This window comes from Homo sapiens, chromosome 6, assembly GCF_000001405.40.
Source record: "Homo sapiens chromosome 6, GRCh38.p14 Primary Assembly".
In the NCBI taxonomy this organism is placed as follows: Eukaryota; Metazoa; Chordata; class Mammalia; order Primates; family Hominidae; genus Homo; species Homo sapiens.
Window position 1 is genome coordinate 42,722,832 of NC_000006.12, and position 21,586 is coordinate 42,744,417.

General features: G+C 46.4%; 1 pseudogene across 1 annotated transcript, besides 3 other annotated features; it reads left to right on the forward strand.

Moving 5' to 3' along the window:
* Positions 3,701-3,770: an enhancer, noted in NCBI's record as "active region_24563". NCBI's record gives its function as "activates an Ori minimal core promoter by ATAC-STARR-seq in GM12878 lymphoblastoid cells {active_cell/tissue: GM12878}" and the evidence as "EXISTENCE:reporter gene assay evidence [ECO:0000049][PMID:35858748]".
* Positions 4,011-4,150: an enhancer, noted in NCBI's record as "active region_24564". NCBI's record gives its function as "activates an Ori minimal core promoter by ATAC-STARR-seq in GM12878 lymphoblastoid cells {active_cell/tissue: GM12878}" and the evidence as "EXISTENCE:reporter gene assay evidence [ECO:0000049][PMID:35858748]".
* Positions 4,651-4,700: an enhancer, noted in NCBI's record as "active region_24565". NCBI's record gives its function as "activates an Ori minimal core promoter by ATAC-STARR-seq in GM12878 lymphoblastoid cells {active_cell/tissue: GM12878}" and the evidence as "EXISTENCE:reporter gene assay evidence [ECO:0000049][PMID:35858748]".
* On the forward strand, positions 4,745-5,363 carry ATP6V0CP3 (ATPase H+ transporting V0 subunit c pseudogene 3; annotated as a pseudogene). Its single transcript, NR_037141.1, has one exon. The product of NR_037141.1 is annotated as an ATPase H+ transporting V0 subunit c pseudogene 3 (transcript).

Sequence of the window (21,586 nt, forward strand, 5' to 3'; positions counted from 1 at the left end):
GTGTTGCTCCCCAAAAGCATATTTCCAGGCCAATCTCCTTCAACATTTAAAACTTTCTGTAGGACAAATAAATTGTTATCCTCTCTGAGAAAAGAAATGACAGGGCCAGGCACAGTGGATCACGCCTATAATCCCAGCACTTTGGGAGACCAAGTTGGGTGGATCACTTGAGCCCAGGAGTTCAAGACCAGCCTGGGCTACATAGGAAGACCCCATCTCCACACACACACACACACACACAAAAAAAAAAAAAAAAAAATTAGCTGGGTATGGTGGCATGCACCTGTAGTTCTCCCAGCTACTCTGGAGGCTGAGGTGGCAAGATCACCTGAGCCTGGGGAGTTCAAGGCTGCACTGAGCCATGATCGTGCCACTGCACTCCAGCCTGGGTGACAGAGTGAGGCCCTGTCTCAAATTTTAAAAAGACAAAGAAAAGAAGAGAAGAAGGAAGGAAAGAAAGAAAGTGACAGATCGTGAGAAAACATTTGCAACTTGTAAAATTAAAAAGTAATATACAGTGGCCAGGCATGGTGGCTTATGCCTGTAATCCCAGTACTTTGGGAGGCCAAGGCAGGTGGATCGCTTGAGCCCAGGAGGTGGAGGTTGCACTGAACTGAGATCCCCACATTGCACTCCAGCCTGGGTGACAGTGAGACTCTGTCTGGAAAAAAAAAAAAAAGAATTAATATGCAAAAATGTTTTAAGTCTCACAAATTCACAATAAACAAAAATTCACAATCAAAAGACCAATAATCAACTGGAAAAATAGGCAAAAACCAGGAACAGACAATTCATAATTAGGAAACTTGAAAAGTCCAATAATCTGGAAAAGATCTCAACTTGGGTAATAAGCAGGAAAATGCAAATCCAAACAACAATAAAATACCAAACTTGGCCGGGCACAGTGGTTCACACCTGTAATCCCAGCAGTTTGGAAGGCCAAGGTGGGTGGATCACTTGAGGTCAGGCATTCAAGACCAGCCTGGCCAACATGGTGAAACCCTGTCTCTACTAAAAATACAAAAATTGTCTGGGTATGGTGACAGGCACCTGTAATCCCAGTTACTTGTGAGGCTGAGGAAGGAGCATCAATTGAACCCGGGAAGTGGAGGTTGCAGTGAGCCAAGATTGCGCCATTGCACTCCAGCCTGGGTGACAAGAGTGAAATGACGTCTCAAAAAAAGAAAAAGACCAAACTCGATCCATCAAATTGAATGTATGTCAAAATTCTGTCACCATACATCAACAAAGAGAGTGGAAGTAGAAGTGTACACTCTTGGTGAATCTGTACATTTATTATTATTATTAATTAATGGATTATTTCTTACAGTAGTTTTAGGTTTACAAAAAAATTGAACAGAAAATACAGGGAGTTCCCATTATTCTCCATCTCCCCAACCAGTTTCTCCTCTAATTAATATCTTGCATTAATGTGGTACATTTGTTACAATTAATGAACCAATATTGATGCACTATTATTAACTAAAGTCTATAGTTTACATTAAGGTTCAGTCTTTGTGCATATAATTCTGTCACTTTTGCCAAATGCATAATGTCATGTATTCATCATTATTGTATCATACAGAATACTTCCACTACTCTAATAACCTGCCATGTTCTGCCTATTCATTCCTCCTTCCCTCACTCCTCAGCCCTGGGCAACCACCGTCTAGATCTATAGTTTTGCCTTATCTAGAATATCTTACAGTTGGAATCATACAACATGTAGCCTTTTCAGACTGGCTTCTTTCCCTTAGCAATATATGTGATTAATGATTCTCTGTATCTTTTCACGGCTTAATAGCTCATTTCTTCTTATCACTGAATAACGTTTCATCACATGGATGTACCACGGTTTATTCCTTCACCTATCAGAGAATATCCTGGTTGATTCCAGTTTTTGACAATTATGAATAAAACTGCTATAAACATCCACGTGCAGGTTTTTGCTGAAAAATTTTCCATTCATCTGGGTAAATATCTAGGAGCACAATGGCTAGATTACATAGTAAGACTATGTTTAACTTTGTAAGAAACTGCCAATCTGTCTTGCAAAGTGACTGTACAATTTTGCATTCCTACCAGCAATTTTTACTTCATGTCCTTGCCAACATTTGATATTGTCAGTGTTTCAGATTTTAACCACTGTAATAGGTGTGTAGCTGCATCTTGTTTGAATTTGCAGTGCCCTAATGACATTTGATCTTTTCATGTGTCATGTGCTTATTTGCCATCTGCATATCTTCTTTGGTGAAGTGTCTGTTCAGCACTTTTGCCTGCTTTTATTTCTTTTTGAGTCAGGATCTATCTATGTTGTCCAGGCTGGTCTCCAACTACTATTCTCAAGCAATCCTCCCACCTCAGCCTCCTGAGAAGCTGGGATTACAGGTACCTGCCACAATGCCCAGCATGCTCACTTTTTAATAATGTTGTTTGTTTTCTTTAGAGTGTAAAGTTTTACAGCCCTTTGGAAGGGCAATTTAGCTATACCTATTACAATTTTCAAAAAAAAATTTTAGCGACGGAGTCTTGCTGTGTTGCCTAGGTTAGTCTCAAACTCCTTGGGCTCAAGCAATCCTTCTGCCTCAACCTCCCAAATTGCTGAGATTACAGGTGTGAGCCACCTCACCCACCCTAAAATTTAAAATGCATTAAAATTCCCAAAGATCCAATAATCTTACTTCTCAGAACAGCCTGTGCATAAGTACAAGGGCTTTTAAGAACAAACCAAGGCCATGTGTGGTGGTTCATGCCTGTAATTCCAGCACTTTGGGAGGCCAAGGCAAGTGGACCACTTGAAGTCAGGAGTTCAAGACAAGCCTGGCCAACATGGTGAAGCCCCATCTCTACTAAAAATACAAAAAAAAAAAAAATAGCTGGGCATGGTGGCAGGCACCTGTAACCCCAGCTATACTCCCAGAGGCTGGCTGAGGCATAAGAACCACTTGAACCCAGGAAGCAGAGGTTGCAGTGAGCTGAGATCACACCACTGTACTCCAGCCTGGGCGACAGAGCAAGACTCCATCTCAAAAAAAAAAAAAAAGAACAAACCAATCTTGTCATCAAATTCCTGTCCACCTAATACCAAAAAGGGTTTCATGATTAGAATATGAAGCCTGTGAGCTCTTGGTGGCAAGTGGGTCAAAACTCTAATCCAGAATCTCCTTTCTTCCCTTATGTGCATTGATTCCCCTACACTAGACTCACTACCCACACACTCCTCTTCAAGGTCTCCAAATCATTATGTAAATCAGAGGAATAGTCTCCACAGGCAGAGGAGGTGTAAGAACTAAGCAACAAGACATGAGTTTTCCCATCCAACAATCACCTTGGAAAACAAAGCACTTATTCCATTGCTCAGCTCAAGTCTGGACTCCAAATGGGAGTGATTTCAAAAGCCAGGTCCTGAGCCATATGGGGAAACATTCTTGTTATACTATAGTCACACAGCATTTTGGGTCAAAAACAATATTACCCAAAGTGATCACTCTTCTAACAGCCAGTGTTGGCTTATAATAGCTTTGGATTATGAAAGGATTTCAACTCTTTATCATCAAGGACATTGAAAAGAATTGCTGCCACTTTTGAAGTTGTTTCCTTTTGTTTTGCTTTTTCCAAAAGAGGATGTTCAGACAACCAGAGGACTCATACCTCCTACAAAAAGTAAAATAAAAATTGGAAGACAATTGTCCTGCAGGAAATAGGATGTAGATGACTGTGACGCTATCACAGAGAGCCTCTTAGAAGCACACGTGCAGACAAGAGAAAATCAGAGGGAAGAAGAGGAAGAAAGATTTAATGTAGAAACCAGAAACAAAAATTTAAAAATAGCTCTACAAGGGTAACCCGATTAGTCAGGCACCTCTTTCTCCTCAAATGACCTTGAGGTTGTAAATACGACGAGGAGGGCGGTGCTGAGCCCATAGCAAGTCTGTGGATGCCCCCTGGTGGCCCTAAATAGAATGGCTTCAATGGATGGAAATTTAACGTGCTCGCATCCCCAGCACGTTAAATTACCCAGAAAAGTAAGAGAAAAAGAACAGACACATCAGAAATGTCTCTGGCCAAACCTTTCAAGTACGAATCAAGGCAAGATATGGCGATGAACAAGCAGAGAAAAGTGGACTGCAAAGGAAGCAGTAATTAATCTGTCAGAGAAGGGAGGGCTCCTTCCTGCTTCCGGACCATGTTGGATGTGAGTCTAGATGCGAGACATCTATTATAGAGATAATAGAAGAGGTTAGCGGAACCAAGGATGGTTCACTTTTCTTCTTTAGAAATACCATTAATGCTGATCGTCTTCGCCGCCGCCTGCGTGCTCGCCTTCGCGCCCGGCCCGGCCTCGCCCCGGTCTTCGCCTCCGCCTCGGCCGCAGAGCTTGCCCCCTCCCCACCCGCAGACAATGTCCGAGTCCAAGAACGGCCCCGAGTATGCTTCGTTTTTCGCCGTCATGGCAGCCTCGGCCGCCATGGTCTTCAGCGCCCCGCGCGCTGCCTATGGCACGGTCAAGACCGGTGCCGGCATCGCGGCCATGTCTGTCATGCGGCCGGAGCTGATCATGAAGTCCATCATCCCGGTGGTCACGGCTGGCATCATCGCCATCTATGGCCTGGTGGTGACAGTCCTCATCGCCAGCTCCCCGAATGACGACATCAGCCTCTACAGGAGCTGCCTCCAGCTAGCGCCGGCCTGAGCGTGGGCCTGAGCGGCCTGGCAGCCGGCTTTGCCATAGACATCTTGGGGGACGCCGGTGTGCGAGCCACGGCCCAGCAGCCCCGACTATTCATGGGCATGATCCTGATCCTCATCTTCCCCGAGGTGCTCGGCCTGTACGGTCTCGTCGTTGCCCTCATCCTCTCCACAGAGTAGCCCCTCTCCGAGCCCACCAGCCACCGAATATGATGTAAAAACCACCCCTCCTCATTCCAGAACGAAGAGCCTGACACACACGCACGGGACCGCGGCCCCCAGTAGTTGATCTTGTACATGCGCAGCGCAGCGTCCTAGTGCCGGTTGTCTGTTGCCCTGGCCTTGCCCCCACCCCACCCCCCACGCCGCCCCGTGCCATGGACATCTGGGTCCACTCATCGCCCCTCCAGGCCCCCGGTGCCCCACCCCCTAGAGTGCTCTGTGTATTCGGATGACTTAGAGTTGTCATTTCTCTTCACTGGATGTTTATTTATAAAGATCTGGCCTGTTCCCGCGTCTGCGGAGAGGCCCTGGTCTCCCAGCTGTCTATAACCTTAGCTAGAGTGTGGCCTTGTGGGCTCCTGTTGCTGAGACCTCCTGGATGGAGCTGCCCTCGCCACCGGGCCCTTGGCCCTGCACGGAGCTCTGTCCAATAAAGTTCTCGGATTTGGGGGGAAAAAAAAGAAATGACCATTAATGCTATTATAATAACGAAATTATACCGTTTTTCTTGGCCAGGTGTGGTGGCCCACTCCTGTAATCCCAGCACTTTGGGAGGCCAAGGTGGGAGGATCGCATGAGGTCAGGAGTTCGAGATCAGCCTGGCCAACATGGTGAAACCTCGTCTCTACAAAAATTACAAAAATCAGCCAGTGTGGTGGCAGGCGCCTGTAATCCCAGCTACTCGGGAGGCTGAAGCACAAGAATTGCTTGAATCCAGGCGGTGGAGGTTGCAGTGAGCCAAGATCATGCCACTGCACCCCAACCTGGAAAGAAAGAAAGAGAGAGAGAGAGAAGGAAGGGAGGGAGGGAGGGAGGGAAAGAGAGAGAGAGAGAGAGGCTGGGCGGGATGGCTCACACCTGTAATCCCAGCACTTTGGGAGGCGGAGGCGGGCAGATCACCTGAGGTCAGGAGTTCGAGGCCAGCCTGACCAATATGGTGAAACCCTGTCTATACTAAAAATACAAAAAAATTAGCTGGGCATGGTGGCGCATGCCCGTAGTCCCAGCTACTCAGGAGGCTGAGATGGGAGAATTGCTTGAACCCGGGAGGCGGAGGTTGCAATCAGCCGAGATTACGCCACTGCACTCTAGCCTGGGGTGACAGAGCAAGACACTGTCTCAAAACAAAAAAAGAAAGAAAGAAAAGCAAGAAAGCAAGAGAGAGAGGGAGGGAGGGAGGGAAAGAAGGAAGGAAGGAAGGAAGGAAGGAAGGAAGGAAGGAAGGAAGGAAGGAAGGAAGGAAGGAAAGAGAGGGGCTGGGCACGATGGCTCACGCCTGTAATCCTAGCACTTTGGGAGACCAAGGCGGATAGATCACCTGAGGTCAGGAGTTCGAGACCAGCCTGGCCAACATGGTGAAACCCTGTCTCTACCAAAGATACAAAAAAACTAGCTGGGCATGGTGGTGCACACCTGTAGTCTCGGCTACTCAGGAGCCTGAGACAGGAGAATTGCTTGAACCTGGGAGGTGGAAGTTGCAGTGAGCTGAGATTGCACCACAGAACTCCAGCCTGGGGCGACAAAGCAAGACTCCATCTCAAAAAAAAAAAAAACAGAAAGAAAAGAAAGAGAAAGAGAGAAAGAAAGAAAGGGAAAGAGGGAGGGAAGGAAGGAGAAAGAAAGAGAGAGCGAGAGAGAAAGAAAGAAAGAAAAAGGAAAGAAAGAAAGAAAAATAAAAGAAAGAAAGAAAAGAAAAGAAAGAAGAGAAAAGAAAAAGAGAAAAGGGGCCAGGTGCAGTGGCTCACACCTGTAATCCCAGCACTTTGGGAGGCCGAGGTCGGGGGGATTACTTGAGCTCAGGAGTTTGAGACCTTCCTGGGCAACATGGCAAAACCCTCTCTCTACAAAAAATACAAAATTAGACAGGCATGGTGGCGAATGCCTGTAGTCCCAGCTACTTGGGAAGCTGATATGGGAGGATTGCTTGAGCCTGGGAGATGGAGGTTGCAGTTAGCTGAGACTTTGCCACTGCACTCCAGCCTGAGTGACAGAGCAAGACCCTGTCTCAAAATAAAAATAAAAATAAAAGGAAAGGAAGAGACTAGAGCTCTCCCCAAGCCAGTACTGAGGAAAGGCCATGTGAGGACACAGTGAGAAGACCCATCTGCAAGCCAGGGAGAGAGGCCTTACCAGAAACCAACCCTGCTGGCACCTTCATCTTGGACTTTAGTCTCCAGAACTGTGAGAAAGTAAATGCCTGTTGCTCGAGCTGCCCAGTCTATGGAATTCTGTCATAGCAGCCAGAGCTGACTAATGCACTCTCCCTCCCACTCAAGAGGTCACCAGTAATCTGAACACCTTAGCGTTTTCTTTTTTTTTCTTTTCCTTTTTTTTTTTTTTTTTTTTTTGAGACCGAGTTTGGCTCTTGTTGCCCAGGCTGGAGTGCAATGGCGCGATCTCGGCTCACTGAAACCTCCACCTCCCAGGTTCAAGCGATTCTCCTGCCTCAGCCTCCTGAGTAGCTGGGATTACAGGTGTCTGCCACCATACCCAGCTAATTTTTTAGTAGAGACAGGGTTTCACCATGTTGGCCAGGATGGTCTTGAACTCCTGACCTCAAGTGATCCGCCCACCTCAGCCTCCCAAAGTGCTGGGATTACAGGCGTGAGCCACTGTGCCCAGCCAGCTTTTTCTTTTTCATATAAAAATCATTAAGTGCTTTCCTACAAACAAATTTTTGATGTTTTTGAGATTTACAACAATTGTATGTTACTGTGTAGATGGTCTCCAGGGATCTGCTTCTTTTTCAGTCAACATGTTTTAAGAGACACACATGTTACATGTAGCTATAGTTCATTGTCATGTATAGAATATACATAGTATACATTCTTCTGCCAGGAGATATATGGGTGATTTCTAGAGTTAAACTTTCATGCATAGAGCTCTTTCAACATTTGTGGCTGGATGCAGTGGCTCACAACTGTAATCGCAGCAATTTAGGAGGCCAAGGCAGGATCACTTGAGCCCAGGAGTTCAAGACCAGCCTAGGCAACATGGTGAAACTTTGCCTCTACAAAAAATACAAAAATTAGCCTCGCGTGGTGGTGTGCACCTGTGGTCCCAGCTACTCATGACTGAGGCATGAGGATCGTTTGAGCCTGGGAGATTGAGGCTGCTGTGAGCAGTGATTGAGCCACTGCACTCAAGCCTGGATGACAGAGTAAGACCTCATCTCAAAACAACAACAACAAAAAACACATTTGTGTGTATCTTTCATTATGCAGAAGTTTCTCTAGGGTATAACCCTAAGAAGTTCGAGACCAGCCTGAGCAACACAGTGAGACCCTGTTTCTATAAAAACAAAACAAAAATACAGAAATAAAAAATATAAATCTAAAAAAGTTACATTGTAGTAAGAGAACATAACATGTACAATATCAAATCTAGAAAAAAAATCTTTGAGATTTGCTCTGTGACCTAGTTTGTGGCCAGTTGTCCTGTGGTCAATATTCCACATGTGTTTGCGGGGGATAAAAGTGTGTCTTATGTAATAATTGGGTGCAATGATCTTTTTTTTTTTTTTTTTTTTTGTAGACAGTCTCACTCTGTCACCCAGGCTAGAATTCAGTAGCATGCTTGGCTCACTACAACCTCTACTACCTAGGTTCAAGCAATTATCCTGCCCAGTCTCCCGAGTAGCTGGGATTACAGGTGCCCAACTAATTTTTGTATTTTTATTAGACATGCGGTTTCATCATCTTCGGCAGGCTGGTCTCGAACTCCTGACCTCAGGTGATCTGCCCACCTCGGCCTCCCAAAGCACTAAGATTACAGGCATAAGCCATTGCGCCAGGCCAATGCTCTTTTTAAAATATATCACTGTGTTCTTCAAATGTTTCTTTTTTTCTTTTTTTTTTTTTTGAGACAGAGTTTCCCTCTTGTTCCCCAGGCTGGAGTACAGTGGCACGATCTTGGCTCACTGCAACCTCCACCTCCAGGATTCAAGCGATTATCCTGCCTCAGCCTCCCGAGTAGCTGGTATTACAGATGTGTGCCACCATGCCCGGCTAATTTTTGTTTTGTTTTGTTTTGAGACAGAGTCTCACTCTGTCACCAAGGCTGGAATGCAGTGGCCTGATCTTGGCTCACTGCAAGCTCCACCTCCTGGGTTCACGCCATTCTCCTGCCTCAGCCTCCCAAGTAGCTGGGACTACAGGCACCCGCCACCACGACTGGCTGATTTTTTGTATTTTTAGTAGAAACAAGGTTTCACCGTGTTAGCCAGGATAGCCTCGATCTCCTGACCTCATGATCCACCCGCCTCGGCCTCCCAAAGTGCTGGGATTACAGGTGTGAGCCACCGTGCCTGGCCTAATTTTTGTATTTTTAGTAGAGACAGGGTTTCACAGTGTTCGCCAGGCTGGTCTGGAACTCCTGACCTAAAGTGATCCGATACCTCAGCCTGCCAAGGTGCTGAAATTACAGTATGAGCCACCACGCCCAGCTGAGACTATTATTCCATTGTTTTCCAGCTCTCATTGTCATCATTAAGAAGTCAGGTGGTAAGCAGTGACTCACGCCTGTAATCCCAGCACATTGGGAGGTCCAGGGAGGTGGATCACCTGAGATCAGGAGTTTGAGACCAGCCTGGCCAACATGGTGAAACCCTGTCTCTACTAAAAATACAAAAATTAGCTGGCATGGTGGTGCACATCTGTAATGCCAGCTACTTGGGAGGCTGAGGCAGGAGAATGGCTTGAACCTGGGAGGCAGAGGTTACAGTGAGCAAAAATAAATAAATAAATAAAATAAAATAACAAAAATAAATTTTAAAAGCTTGATGGGCACTACCGCCATCTTGGAGATGGCTGTGGTCACTCCACCTGCCAGGAAGTCCTTGGCAAAGGACACGGCAGCATCTGTCATGTTGAAAGGAAAGGGGAGGCAGGCTGCTTCAGGATGGGACTGGGCCGGGAACCAGCTTTGACTCCAGGGCTGCTGGGCCTTTTTGGGGTTTTTTTGGAAGCTTCATGACAACAGTATTCCTTCCCCCACGGTACAGTGCAGGACCCTCTCTTTGGAAGGTCTTAAGACCCACAATCAGAAAGGTAGGGAGACATTCGAGTGGAAGGTGGGCAGGAGAAGGTCGGAGGCTTGCCCCTGAGGCCCAACACACCCAACATTATAACGAAAGACCAGAACAAGGGCTGTGGGAGTTATGAGCCAGGAACGCGGATGAAAACCAACAAATATCGTAACACCACAGCGAGGAACACAGACATTCAGACCACAGCATACTTTTACACTGAAGATGGGCTCAGTAGACTCCACCCTTTGGAAGCCTCAGATTTTGGCTTCTGTCTGCCTTCTTGTCTCCTCTCTCCAGTGCCGTTAAAATGAAACTCAAGGTTACAAGAGTTCAAGAGACCTCCCAGCCCCACAACAAAGTCAGTTTTAGAATTAGTTCACATTGGCCGGGCGCAGTGGCTCACGCCTGTAATCCCAGTGCTTTGGGAGGCTGAGGCGGATGGATCACCTGAGGTCAGGAGCTTGAGACCAGCCTGACCAACATGGAGAAACCCCGTCTCTACTAAAACTACAAAATTAGCCAGGCACAGTGGCGCGTGCCTGTAATCCCAGCTACTCAGGAGGCTGAGGCAGAAGAATCGCTTGAACCTGGGAGGCAGAGGTTGCGGTGAGCCAAGATCGTGGCATTGCACTCCAGCCTGGGCAACAAGAGCAAAACTCTGCCTCAAAAAAAAAAAAAAAAAAAAGAATTAGCTCACATCTCTGGATTAATTTTGATCTCCACCGGGTGTGGTGGCTCACACCTGTAATCCCAGCCCTTTGGGAAGTCAAGGCAGGTGGATCACCTGAGGTCAGGAGTTCGAGACCAGCCTGACCAACATGGTGAAACCCCGTTTCTACTAAAAATACAAAATTAGCCGAGCATGATGGCGCATGCCTGTAGTCCCAGTTACTCCAGAGGCTGAGATAGGAGAATCGCTTGAACCCGGGAGGTGGAGGTTGCAGCAAGCTGAGATTGTGCCACTACACTCCAGCCTGGGTAACAGAGCAAGACTCCGTCTCAAAAAAAAAAATTTTTTTTTTTTTGATCTCCACATGTAGGGTCTAGCCCTACGGGGCTTAGCGGGTATTTTCCCCATGTGCAGAGACGAGAGATCGTAAGAAAGACACAAGACAAAGAGATAAAGAGAAAGCAGCTGGGCCTGGGGGACCACTACCACCAAGACGTGGAGACGTAGTGGCCTTGAATGGCTGGGTGCACTGATATTTATTGTATACAAGACAAGGGGGCAGGGTAAGGAGGGTGAGTCGTCCAAGTGATTGATAAGGTCAAGTAAGTCACGTGGTTATAGGACAGGGGACCCTTCCCTTATAGGTAGCTGAAGCAGAGAGGGAAGGCAGCATACGTCAGTGTTTTCTTCTATGCACTTAAGACTTTCACTATTTTTTCTACCGCTACCTTCTAAGAACTTTAAAGAGGAACCAGGAGTATGGGAGGAGCATGAAAGTGGACAAGGAGCGTGACCACTGAAGCACAGCACCACAGGGAGGGGTTTAAGCCTCTGGATGACTGTGGGCAGGCCTGGATAATATCCAACCTCCCACAAGAAGCTGGTGGAGCAGAGTGTTTCCTGACTCCTCCAAGGAAAGGAGACTCCCTTTCACGGTCTACTAAGTAACGGGTGCCTTCCCAGGCACTAGCATTACCGCTTGACCAAGGAGCCCTCAAGCGGCCCTTATGTGGGCGTAACAGAGGGCTCACCTCTTGCTTTCTTGGTTACTTCTTACAATGTCCCTTCAGCACCTGACTCTATACCTGCTGGTTATTTTTTGGTTATATTAGTAATACAACAAAGAGTAATATTAAAAGCTAACGATTAATAATCTTTGTACTAATGATTGATAATGTCCATGATCATCTCTATATCTAATTTGTATCATAACCATTTTTATTTTAACTTTTTTTATTATACTGAAACAATTTGTGCCTTCAGCCTCTTGCCTTGGCACTTGAGTAATTCTCCGCCCACATCCACATATTCTTTACTCTCTTTGCAGCTCCATGATGTCTTTTTACAAGTATTTTGATATATTTTATCTAGCATTTATAGTTGTTTTCAGTGAGATAGCTCTTTAAGGAAGCCAGTACTCTTTACTGACATCTACTTTTTTTTTTTGAGATGGAGTTTTGCTCTTGTCACCCAGGCTAGAGTGTAGTGGTGTGATCTTGGCTCGCTGCAACCTCCGCCTCCCAGGTTCAAGTGATTCTCCTGCTTCAGCCTCCCAAGTAACTGGGACTCACAGACAACAGGCACCTGCCACCACACCTGGCTAATTTTTGTATTTTTAGTAGAGACGGGATTTCACCGCATTGGCCAGGCTGATCTCAAACTCCTGACTTCAGGTGATCCACCCACCTCGGCCTCCCAAAGTGCTGGGATTACAGGCATGAGCCACCACACCTGGCCCTTATTGACTTTATTTATTTTTATTTTTTGAGACCAAGTCTCGCTCTGTTGCCCAGGCTGGAGTGAAGCGATACAATCTTGGCTCACTGCAGCCTTTGCCTCCTGGGTTCAAGCAATTCCTGTACCTCAGCCTCCCTAGCATCTGGGACTACAGGTGTGCACCACCATGCCTGACTAATTTTTTGTAGTTTTAGTAGAGATGAGGTTTCACCATGTTTGCCAGGCTGGTCTCGAACTCCTGACCTCAGGTGATCTGCCCACCTCAGCCTCCCAAAGTGCTGGGATTACAGGTGTGAGTCATCATGCCCGGCCTCTGCCACCATCTACTTTCAATGTTCCATAACTTTCTTCATTTTCTATTCCTCTTCCCAGGGGCATAACTAGGAAAAAGAAGTCCCAATGTGAAATCTGTGTGGCCCCTATCTTTTCAAAACAAAAAGATCTGGCCAGGCACCATGACTCACGCCTATAATCCCAGCACTTTGGGGGGCCAGAGCAGGCGGATCACTTCAGGCCAGGAGTTCCAGACCAGCCTGGACAATATGGTGAAATCTCATCTTTATCAAAAATACAAAAAAAATTAGCCGGGGATGGTAGCACATGCCTATAGTCCCAGCTACTTGGGAGGCTAAGGTAGGAAGATCCCTTGAACCTGGGAGGCAGAGGTTGCAGTGAGGCGTGATCGCGCCACTGCACTGCGGCCTGAGCGACAGAGTGAGACCCTGTCTCAAAAATAAATAAATAAACAAATAAATGTCTAAAATAGGCTCTTTAGGGGGGTGATAATGAAAAAAAAAAGGTTGAGAGACACTAAAAACACTGCCCTAAACTGGGAGTGAAAGTAGTTAATTGGAGAGATTCAGATAACACCCATGGAGGGGTGGCAAAGTGGTACAGGAAGGAAAGGCGGCCCACAAGACTGTGCTATTACACCAGCTTCCACCCTGGAGAAGGAAATCCCTGGGGGAAACACATCTCAGAATTATCCTGTCTTGGGTGAGGGAGCTGAGCTATTTATTCACTAACTCTGGAGAGTCATTCATCTGAGGGCTGTTCCCAGGATAAGTCCCCAGCAGCAAGGCTTACCACAAGAGGAATCAGAACTGTCAGACACTTAATACTATTGTGCTGGGCACAGCGAAAAGTTCAAGCCATGTGGATGGTCAAGCGGCACCCTCTATTACACTACTATTTATTAAAACCTAGAAAGTGCACCAGGCACAGTGGCTCATGCCTGTAATCCCAGCAGTTTGGGAGGCCGAGGTGGGGGGATCCCTTGAGCCCAGGAGTTTTAGACCAACCTGGGCAACATGGCAAAACCCTGTTACAACAAAAAATACGAAAAATTAGCCAGGTGAGGTGGCTCACACCTGTAGTCCCAGCTACTCCAGAGGCTGAGGTGGGAGGATGGCTTGAGCCTAGGAAGTTGAGGCTGCAGTGAGCCCTGATCCTGCCACTGCACACCAGCCTAGGCAACAGAGCAAGATCCTATCTCAAAAAAAAAAAAAGAAAGTGCTATTAGGAGAAACTTTCCGATCAAGAAATCACAAAAGCAGCGCTTTTTAAATTTATTTTCATTTTCATTTATTTATCTATTTTTTAAGACAGGGTCTCACTCTGTTGCCCAAGCTGGAGTGCAGTGGCATGATCAGGGCTCACTGCAGCCCTTGAACTCTTAGGCTCAAGCAATCCTCCCACTTCAGCAAAGATATCTTGAGTACTACCCCACAAGCACAGGCAACCACAGCAAAAATGAACAAATGGTAGCTGGGTGCCGTCGCTCTTGCCTGTAATCCCAGCACTTTGGGAGGCCGAGGCGAGGAGATCGGCTGACGTCAGGAGTTCAAGACCAGCCTGGCCAACATGGCAAAACCCTGTCTTTACTAAAAATACAAAAATTAGCTGGGCACGGTGGTGAGTGCCTGTAATCCCAGCTACTCGGGAGGCTGAGGCAGGAGAATCACTTGAACCAGGGAGGCAGAGGTTGCAGAGAGCCGAGATTGCACCACTGCACTCCAGCCTGGACAACCAAGCGAGACTCTGTCTCAAAAAAAAAAAATTAGCTAGGCATCGTGGCACATGCCTTTAGTCCCAGCTACTCAGGAGGGTGAGGCACAAGAATCACTTGAGCCCAAGAGGCGGAGGCTGCAGTGAACCAAGATAGCACCACTGCACTCCAGCCTGGGTGACAGAGCAAGACTCTGTCTCCAAAAAAAAAAAAAAATTAAAAAATAAAAAGGACAAATGGGATCATGTCAAGTGAACAACCTTCTGCACAGTAAAGGAAACAATCAACAAAGTGAAGAGACAACCCACAGAATGGGAAAAAATATTTGCAAACTACCCATCTGACAAGGGATTAATAACCGGAATATATAAGGAACTCAAACAACTCTATAGGAAAAAATATAATAATCTAGTTTAAAAATGGGCAAAAAGTCTAAATAGACATTTCTCAAAAGAAGACATACAAATGGCAAACAGGCATATGAAAAGGTGCTTAACATCATGGATCATCAGAGAAAGGCAAATCAAAACTACAATGGGATATCATCTTCCCCCAGTCAAAATGGCTTTTATCCAAAAGACTGGCAATAGCAAACGCTGGTGAGGATGCGGAGAAAAGAGAACCCTCGTACACTGTTGGTGGGAATGTAAATTAGTACAACCACTATGGAAAACAGTTAGGAGGTTCCTCAAAAAACTAAAACTAGAGCTACCATATGATCCAGCAATCCCACTCCTAGGTAGAGACCCAAAAGAAAGGAAATCAGTACATCAAAGAGATATCTGCATTTTCATGTTTGTTGCAGCACTGTTCACAATAGCCAAGATTTGGAAGCAACGTAAGTGTCCATCGACAGATGAATGGATAAAGAAAATGTGGTACATATATACAATGGAGTACTTACTATTCAGCCATAAAAAGAACAGGATCCTGTCATTTGCAACAAATGGATGGAACTGGAGGTCTTTATGTTAAGTGAAATGAGCCAGGAACAGAAAGACAAACTTCAAACGTTCTCATTTATTTGTGGGAGTTAAAAATTAAAACAGTTGAATCCATGGAAATAGAGAGTAGAAGGATGATTACCATAGGCTGGGAAGGGTAGTGGGGGCTGGGGCAAGTGGGGATGGTTAATGGGTACAAAAAATTAGTTAAAGACTGGGCGCGGTGGCTCACGCCTGTAATCCCAGCACTTTGGGAGGTCGAGGTGGGTGGATCACCTGAGGTCAGGAGTTTGAGACCAGCCTGACCAACATAGTGAAACCCCATCCATACTAAAAATACAAAATTAACTGGGGGTGGTGGCACCTGCCTGTAATCCCAGCTACTTGGGAGGCTGAGGCAGGAGAATCGCTTGAACCCGGGAGGCAAAGGTTGCAGGAAGCTGAGATTGTGCCATTCCACTCCAGCCTGGGTAATAAGAGTGAAACTCCGTCTCAAAAAAAAAATAATTACTTAGAAAAAATGAATCAGAGTTGAGCACAGTGGCTAACTAACTTCTGTAACTCCAGCACCTTTGGAGGCTGGAGTGGAAGGATCACTTGAGCCCAGGAGTTTAAGACCAGCCTGGGCAACGTAGGGAGACACTGTCTCTAAAAAAATTTAAAAATTAGCCAGGCATGGTGGTGCAGGTCTATAGTCCCAGCTACTGGGGAGGCTGAGGTGAAAGGATCATTTACACCTGGGAGATCAAGCCTCCAGTGAGCCAGGATCACACCACTGCACATCAGCCTGGGTGACAAAGCGAGACCCTGTCTGAAAAAATAAAAATAAAATGAATCAGACCTAGTATTTGTTAGCACAACTAGGTGACTATAGTCAAAAATAATTTAATTGTACATTTTAAAATAACTAAAAGAGTATCATTGGATTGTTTGTAACAAAGGATAAATGTTTGAGGGGATGGACACCCCATTTACTCTGATGTGACTATTACTCATTGCATTACTATTACTCATTGTATCAAATAACCCATAAATTTATACACCTACTACTTATCCACAAAAATTAAAAATTTAAAAATTTAAAAATCCTCCTACTTCAGCCCCCTGAGTAGCTGGGACCACAGATATGCACCACCATGCCTGGCTAATTTTTTAATTTTGTGTTAGAGATAGGGTCTCATGTTGCCCAGGCTGGTCTCTAACTCCTGGGCTCAAGTGATCCTCCTACCTCAGTCTCCCAAAGTGCTGGCATTACAGGGGTGAGCTACTGCCCCATCCAGTACTTTTTATTAAGGCCCCTGGGGACATATCCCAGTTTTTTCTTCTTTTTTCTTTTTTCCCTTGAGACAGAGTTTTGCTCTGTCACCCATGCTGCAGTGCAGTGTCACGATCTCAGCTCACTACAACATCTGCCTCCCAGGTTCACATGATTCTGCTGCCTCAGCCTCCTGAGTAGCCAGGATTACAGGCATGCACCACGCCCGGCTAATTTTTGTATTTTTAGTAGAGATGGGGTTTCGCCATGTTGGCCAGGCTGGTCTCGAACTCCTGACCTCAGGTGATCCTCCCACCTCAGCCTCCCAAAATGCTGAGATTACAGGCGTGAGCCACTGCGCCCGGCCCCAGTATCCCAGTCTTACAGCTGTTATTGGACTGAAGAAGTCAGTTGGTTCTTTAACGTCAGTCACAATTGAACCCAAGTCAAGTCTAGCCCATAGTTTCCAGAGATGTAATGTTATAGTTTGGGTTTCCATGGCAGGAAACACATTTCATGCCATGACCATACCAAAATTGAAGATTAAGAGAAACTAAAATCAGCCAGGCGCAGTGGCTCATGCCTGTAATCCCAGCACTTTGGGAGACAGAGGTGGGTGGATCACCTGAGGTCAGGAGTTCGAGACCAGCCCGGACAACATGGTGAAACCCCATCTCTACTAAAAATACAAAAATTAGCTGGGCGTGGGCCAGCCACGGTGGCTCACGCCTGTAATCCCAGCACTTTGGGAGGCCGAGGCGGGCGGATCATGAGGTCAGGAGATCGAGACCATCCTGGCTAACGTAGTGAAACCCCGTCTCTACTAAAAATACAAAAAATTAGCTGGGTGTGGTGGCGGGCGCCTGTAGTCCCAGCTACTCGGGAGGGTGAGGCAGGAGAATGGCGTGAACCCGGGAGGCGGAGCTTGCAGCGAGCCGAGATCGCGCCACTGCACTCCAGTCTGGGCGACAGAGCGAGACTCCGTCTCAAAAAAAAAAAAAAAAAAGAGAAATTAAAATAAAATAAAATACAAATAAATAACAAACATAAACTAAACATGTACCCAGTCAAAAAGTTAAATTGGCTTGTTCTCACTTGTAACCTCAACACTTTGGGAGGCCAAGGTGGGAGGATCCCTTGAGCCTAGGAGTTCAAGACCAGCCTGGGCAACATGGTGACATCCCAGCTCTCCAAAAAAAAGTAAAAAAATTAGCCAAGTGTGGTGGCTACTTAGGATGCTGAGGTAGGATAATTGCTTGAGCCTGGGAGGTCAAGGCTGCAGTGAGCCATAATTGCACCACTGCACTCCAGCCTAGACAACAGAGTGAGACCCTGTTGTAAAAAACAACAACAACAAAAAAGCTAAACTGTCAATGCTCCTTGGGAGAAATTTGTGCATGAACTGGATTTGCTAATGTTTATTAAACTGCAACTTCTATGGAATGTTCTTGGTAATGTCCATAAGCATTCCTCTGCTCAAGGACCTTAAAAGTCATCCAACTTTTTAATCATCTTTCTTGGAAATTACCATCTCTGATGAGATGTGCGTGAATGGCCCTCCCCGGAGAATTTCAGTAACCAAAGCTGGGGAAAAAGCAGTTACTCCTCCCTCCTTCATTTCCCCTCCTCAAAGATTACAGCTAACTTTTATGTAAATCTTTAGTACTTTTTGATTGGCCAGAAGTTTCCCCTGTTCTTTCCCATAGTGGTCGTTCCTTGGTTTCTCTTTAAGCTTTTTCCTTTTTTTTTTTTTTTTTTTGTGAGATAGTGTCTTGCTTTGCCACCCAGGCTGGAGTGCAGTGGCGTGATCTAGGCTTACTGCAATCTCTGCCTCCTGGGTTCAAGTGATTCTCAGGCCTCAGCCTCCCGAGTAGCTGGGATAATAGGTGCACACCACCATGCCCAGCTAATTTTTCTATTTTTACTAGACACGGGGTTTCACCAAGTTGGCCAGGCTGGTCTCGAACTCCTGACCTCAAGTGATCTGCCCACCTCAGCCGCCCAAAGTGTTGAGATTACAGGCGTGAGCCACCGCTCCTGGCCTCCTCATTTTTTTTTTTTTATTGAGACAAGGTCTCACTCTGTCGCCCAAGCTGGAGTGCAGTGGCACAATCACAGTTCACTGTAGCCTTGACCTCTAGGTTCAAGCAATCATCCCGCCTCAGCCTCCTGAGTAGCTGGGACCACAGGCGTGTGCCACCATGCCTAGCTAATTTTTGTATTTTTTGTAGAGACAGAGTCTTCCTATGTTACCCAGGCTGGTCTTGAACCCCTAAGCTCAAGTGATCTTCCCACCAAGGCCTCCCAAAATGCTGAGATTACAGGCATGAACTACCAAGCCTGGCCCATGCCTCATTTTCAAAAGAGACTAAGGAAAATCCCAGATTTCCCAGAGGAAGTGACATTTGTCTTGTATGAAATTTTGGCAAGTGCATGGGGACCCAATCTGTGTGGGCACTGCTCGAGAAAAGGCCAGGAAATACGGCAAAAACTATTTGCACTGAATATTTATTTTTTGAGATGGAGTTTCGCTCTGGCATTCAGGCTGGAGTACAGTGGTACAGTCTCGACTCACCGTACCCTCCTCCTCCCAGGTTCAAGCGATTATCTTGCCTCAGCCTCCTGAGTAGCTGGGATTACAGGCGCCTGCCACCATGCCCGGCTAATTTTTGTATTTTTAGTAGAAACGGGATTTCACCATGTTGGCCAGGCTGGTCTCAAACTCCTGACTTCAGGTGATCCACCTGCCTTGGCCTCCCAAGGCAAATCCCAAGGCAATCCCGAAGTGCTGAGATTACAGGCATGAGCCACAGCGCTGGCCTGCCCTTAGTGTCTTCCATTTCCTCCTCCAGATCCATTCTTCATTTTTCTCCACGCTGTTCTACATCCTGGGAGCTGACTCATATGGACTGCGGCAGCAGACTTCTTTGCCCTGAAATTTCCAGTTGGGCTCTACCAACGGGAGGCACCAATAAAAGAGAATGACATTGTTTAAGTCCCATGGCTCTCTCCCTGCCAGGTCACCATGGATTGGCAGCATCCCTCCACTGAGGACTGAAACTCCTGTCAGGTAGCTCAATAACTGTCTATCTCTCTCTGCATTCAGGTAACATTTTTGTCCCTTCAGCCCTAAGGATGGTAACAGATATTGTACCATCTCTAATTGCTTTTCTTATACTCTGCCCACAGCTTTGTAAATAGCTCCTGTATTAAGCTCTTCTCAAAGTATCCATTTTGAGCAAGCCATCTGTTTCCTGCCAGAGCCCTGACATTGTGTTTGATTAATGGGTATTAGTTCAGACTAGCTGGTGCATGAAATGTGTGTGATGAAACAGTAAAACATCATGTAAGAACAGTAGGCTGAAACAGATGGTGGAGGGGCTTGTCTTCCAGGCCAGGAAGTCTATCAGATAATAAGAATCTCAGAAGGTTTTAGATCAGGAGTGACATACTTTAAGAAAACTAATTTAGTAGCTGTATGCAGAATAGTTCAGAAATTGGAGATGGGGAGATGAGTTAGGAGATGATTACCATTACTAGTAGAGGAAGGTAATATTTTGTAACCATCAAACTGGCAAAGACCCAAAAATTTCTTTTTTTTTTTGAGATGGAGTTTTGCTCTTGTCGCCCAGGCTGGAGTGCAGCGCCACAATCTCAGCACACTGTAACCTCTGCCTCTTGGGCTCAAGATATTCTCCTGCCTCAGTCTCCCAAGTAGCTGAGATTCCATGTGTGTGCCACCATGCCCGGCTAATTTTTGTATTTTTAGTAGTGACGAGGTTTCACCCTGTTGGCCAGGCTGGTCTCGAACTCCTGACCTCAGGTGATCCACCTGCCTTGGCCCCCCAAAGTGCTGGGATTACAGGGATGAGCCACCGCGCCTGGCACCACCCCCTTTCTTTTTTTTCTTTTTTTTTTTTTTATACAGAGTCTTGCTCTGGAAATGCAATGGCACAGTAATGGCTCACTGCTACCTCTTCTTGCCAGGTTCAAAGGATTCTCATGCCTCAGCATCCCGAGTAGCTGGGATTACAAACACGCACCACCACCCAGCACTTGGAAGACCACGGGGGACAGATTGCTTGAGCTCAGGAGTTCGAGACCAGCCTGGGCAACATGATGAAGCCCTCTCTACAAAAAATACACAAATTAGCCGGGGGTGATGGGGTGCACCTGTAGTCCCAGCTACTTGGGAGGCTGAGGTTGGAGGATATCTTGAGCCCAGAAGGTCCTTCACCCAGACCCTGTCTCAAAGAAACAAAGGAAAAAAAAAAAAAAAAGGACCGGGCACAGTGGCTCACGCCTATAATCCCAGGACTTTGGGAGGCTGAGGCAGGTGGATCAGCCGAGGTCAGGAGTTCAAGACCAGTCTTGCCAACATGGTGAAATTCTCTATTAAAAATACAAAAAATTAGCCGAGCATGGTGGCGGGCTCCTGTAATCCCAGCTGCTCGGGAGGTTGAGGCAAGAGAGTCACTTGAACCAGGGACGCTGAGGTTGCACTGAGCTGAGATCACGCCACTGCACTCCAGCCTGGGCAACAAGAGCGAAACTCTGTCTCAAAAAAAAAAAAAAAAAAGAAACACGTAAAGAGTGATGGCTCTCCGAAGGAACTGAATGTCTAGGGACAAAGGAATTACCTATGGTTTTTTGTTTTTGAGACAGTGTCTCACTCTGCCACACAGGCTGGAGTGCAGTGGCGTGATGTCAGCTCACGACAACCTGTCTCCCAGGTTCAAGCAGTTCTCCTGAGTAGCTGGGACTACAGGTGTGAACTATCATGCCCGGCTAATTTTTGTGTTTTTAGTAGAGACGGGGTTTCACCTGGCACCGGGTCTCCAACTCTTGACCTCAAGTGATCTGCCCACCTCAGCCTCCCAAAGTGCTGGGATTGCAGGCGTGAGCCCCCGGGCTCAGCTCTGGAATTTATTAAATATGTATCTATACCCTGACACTGCTGGTTACTGTCTATAATCCGAGTGTTTTGGGAGGCTGAGGCAGGAGAATTGCTTGAGGTCAGGAGTTCGAAACC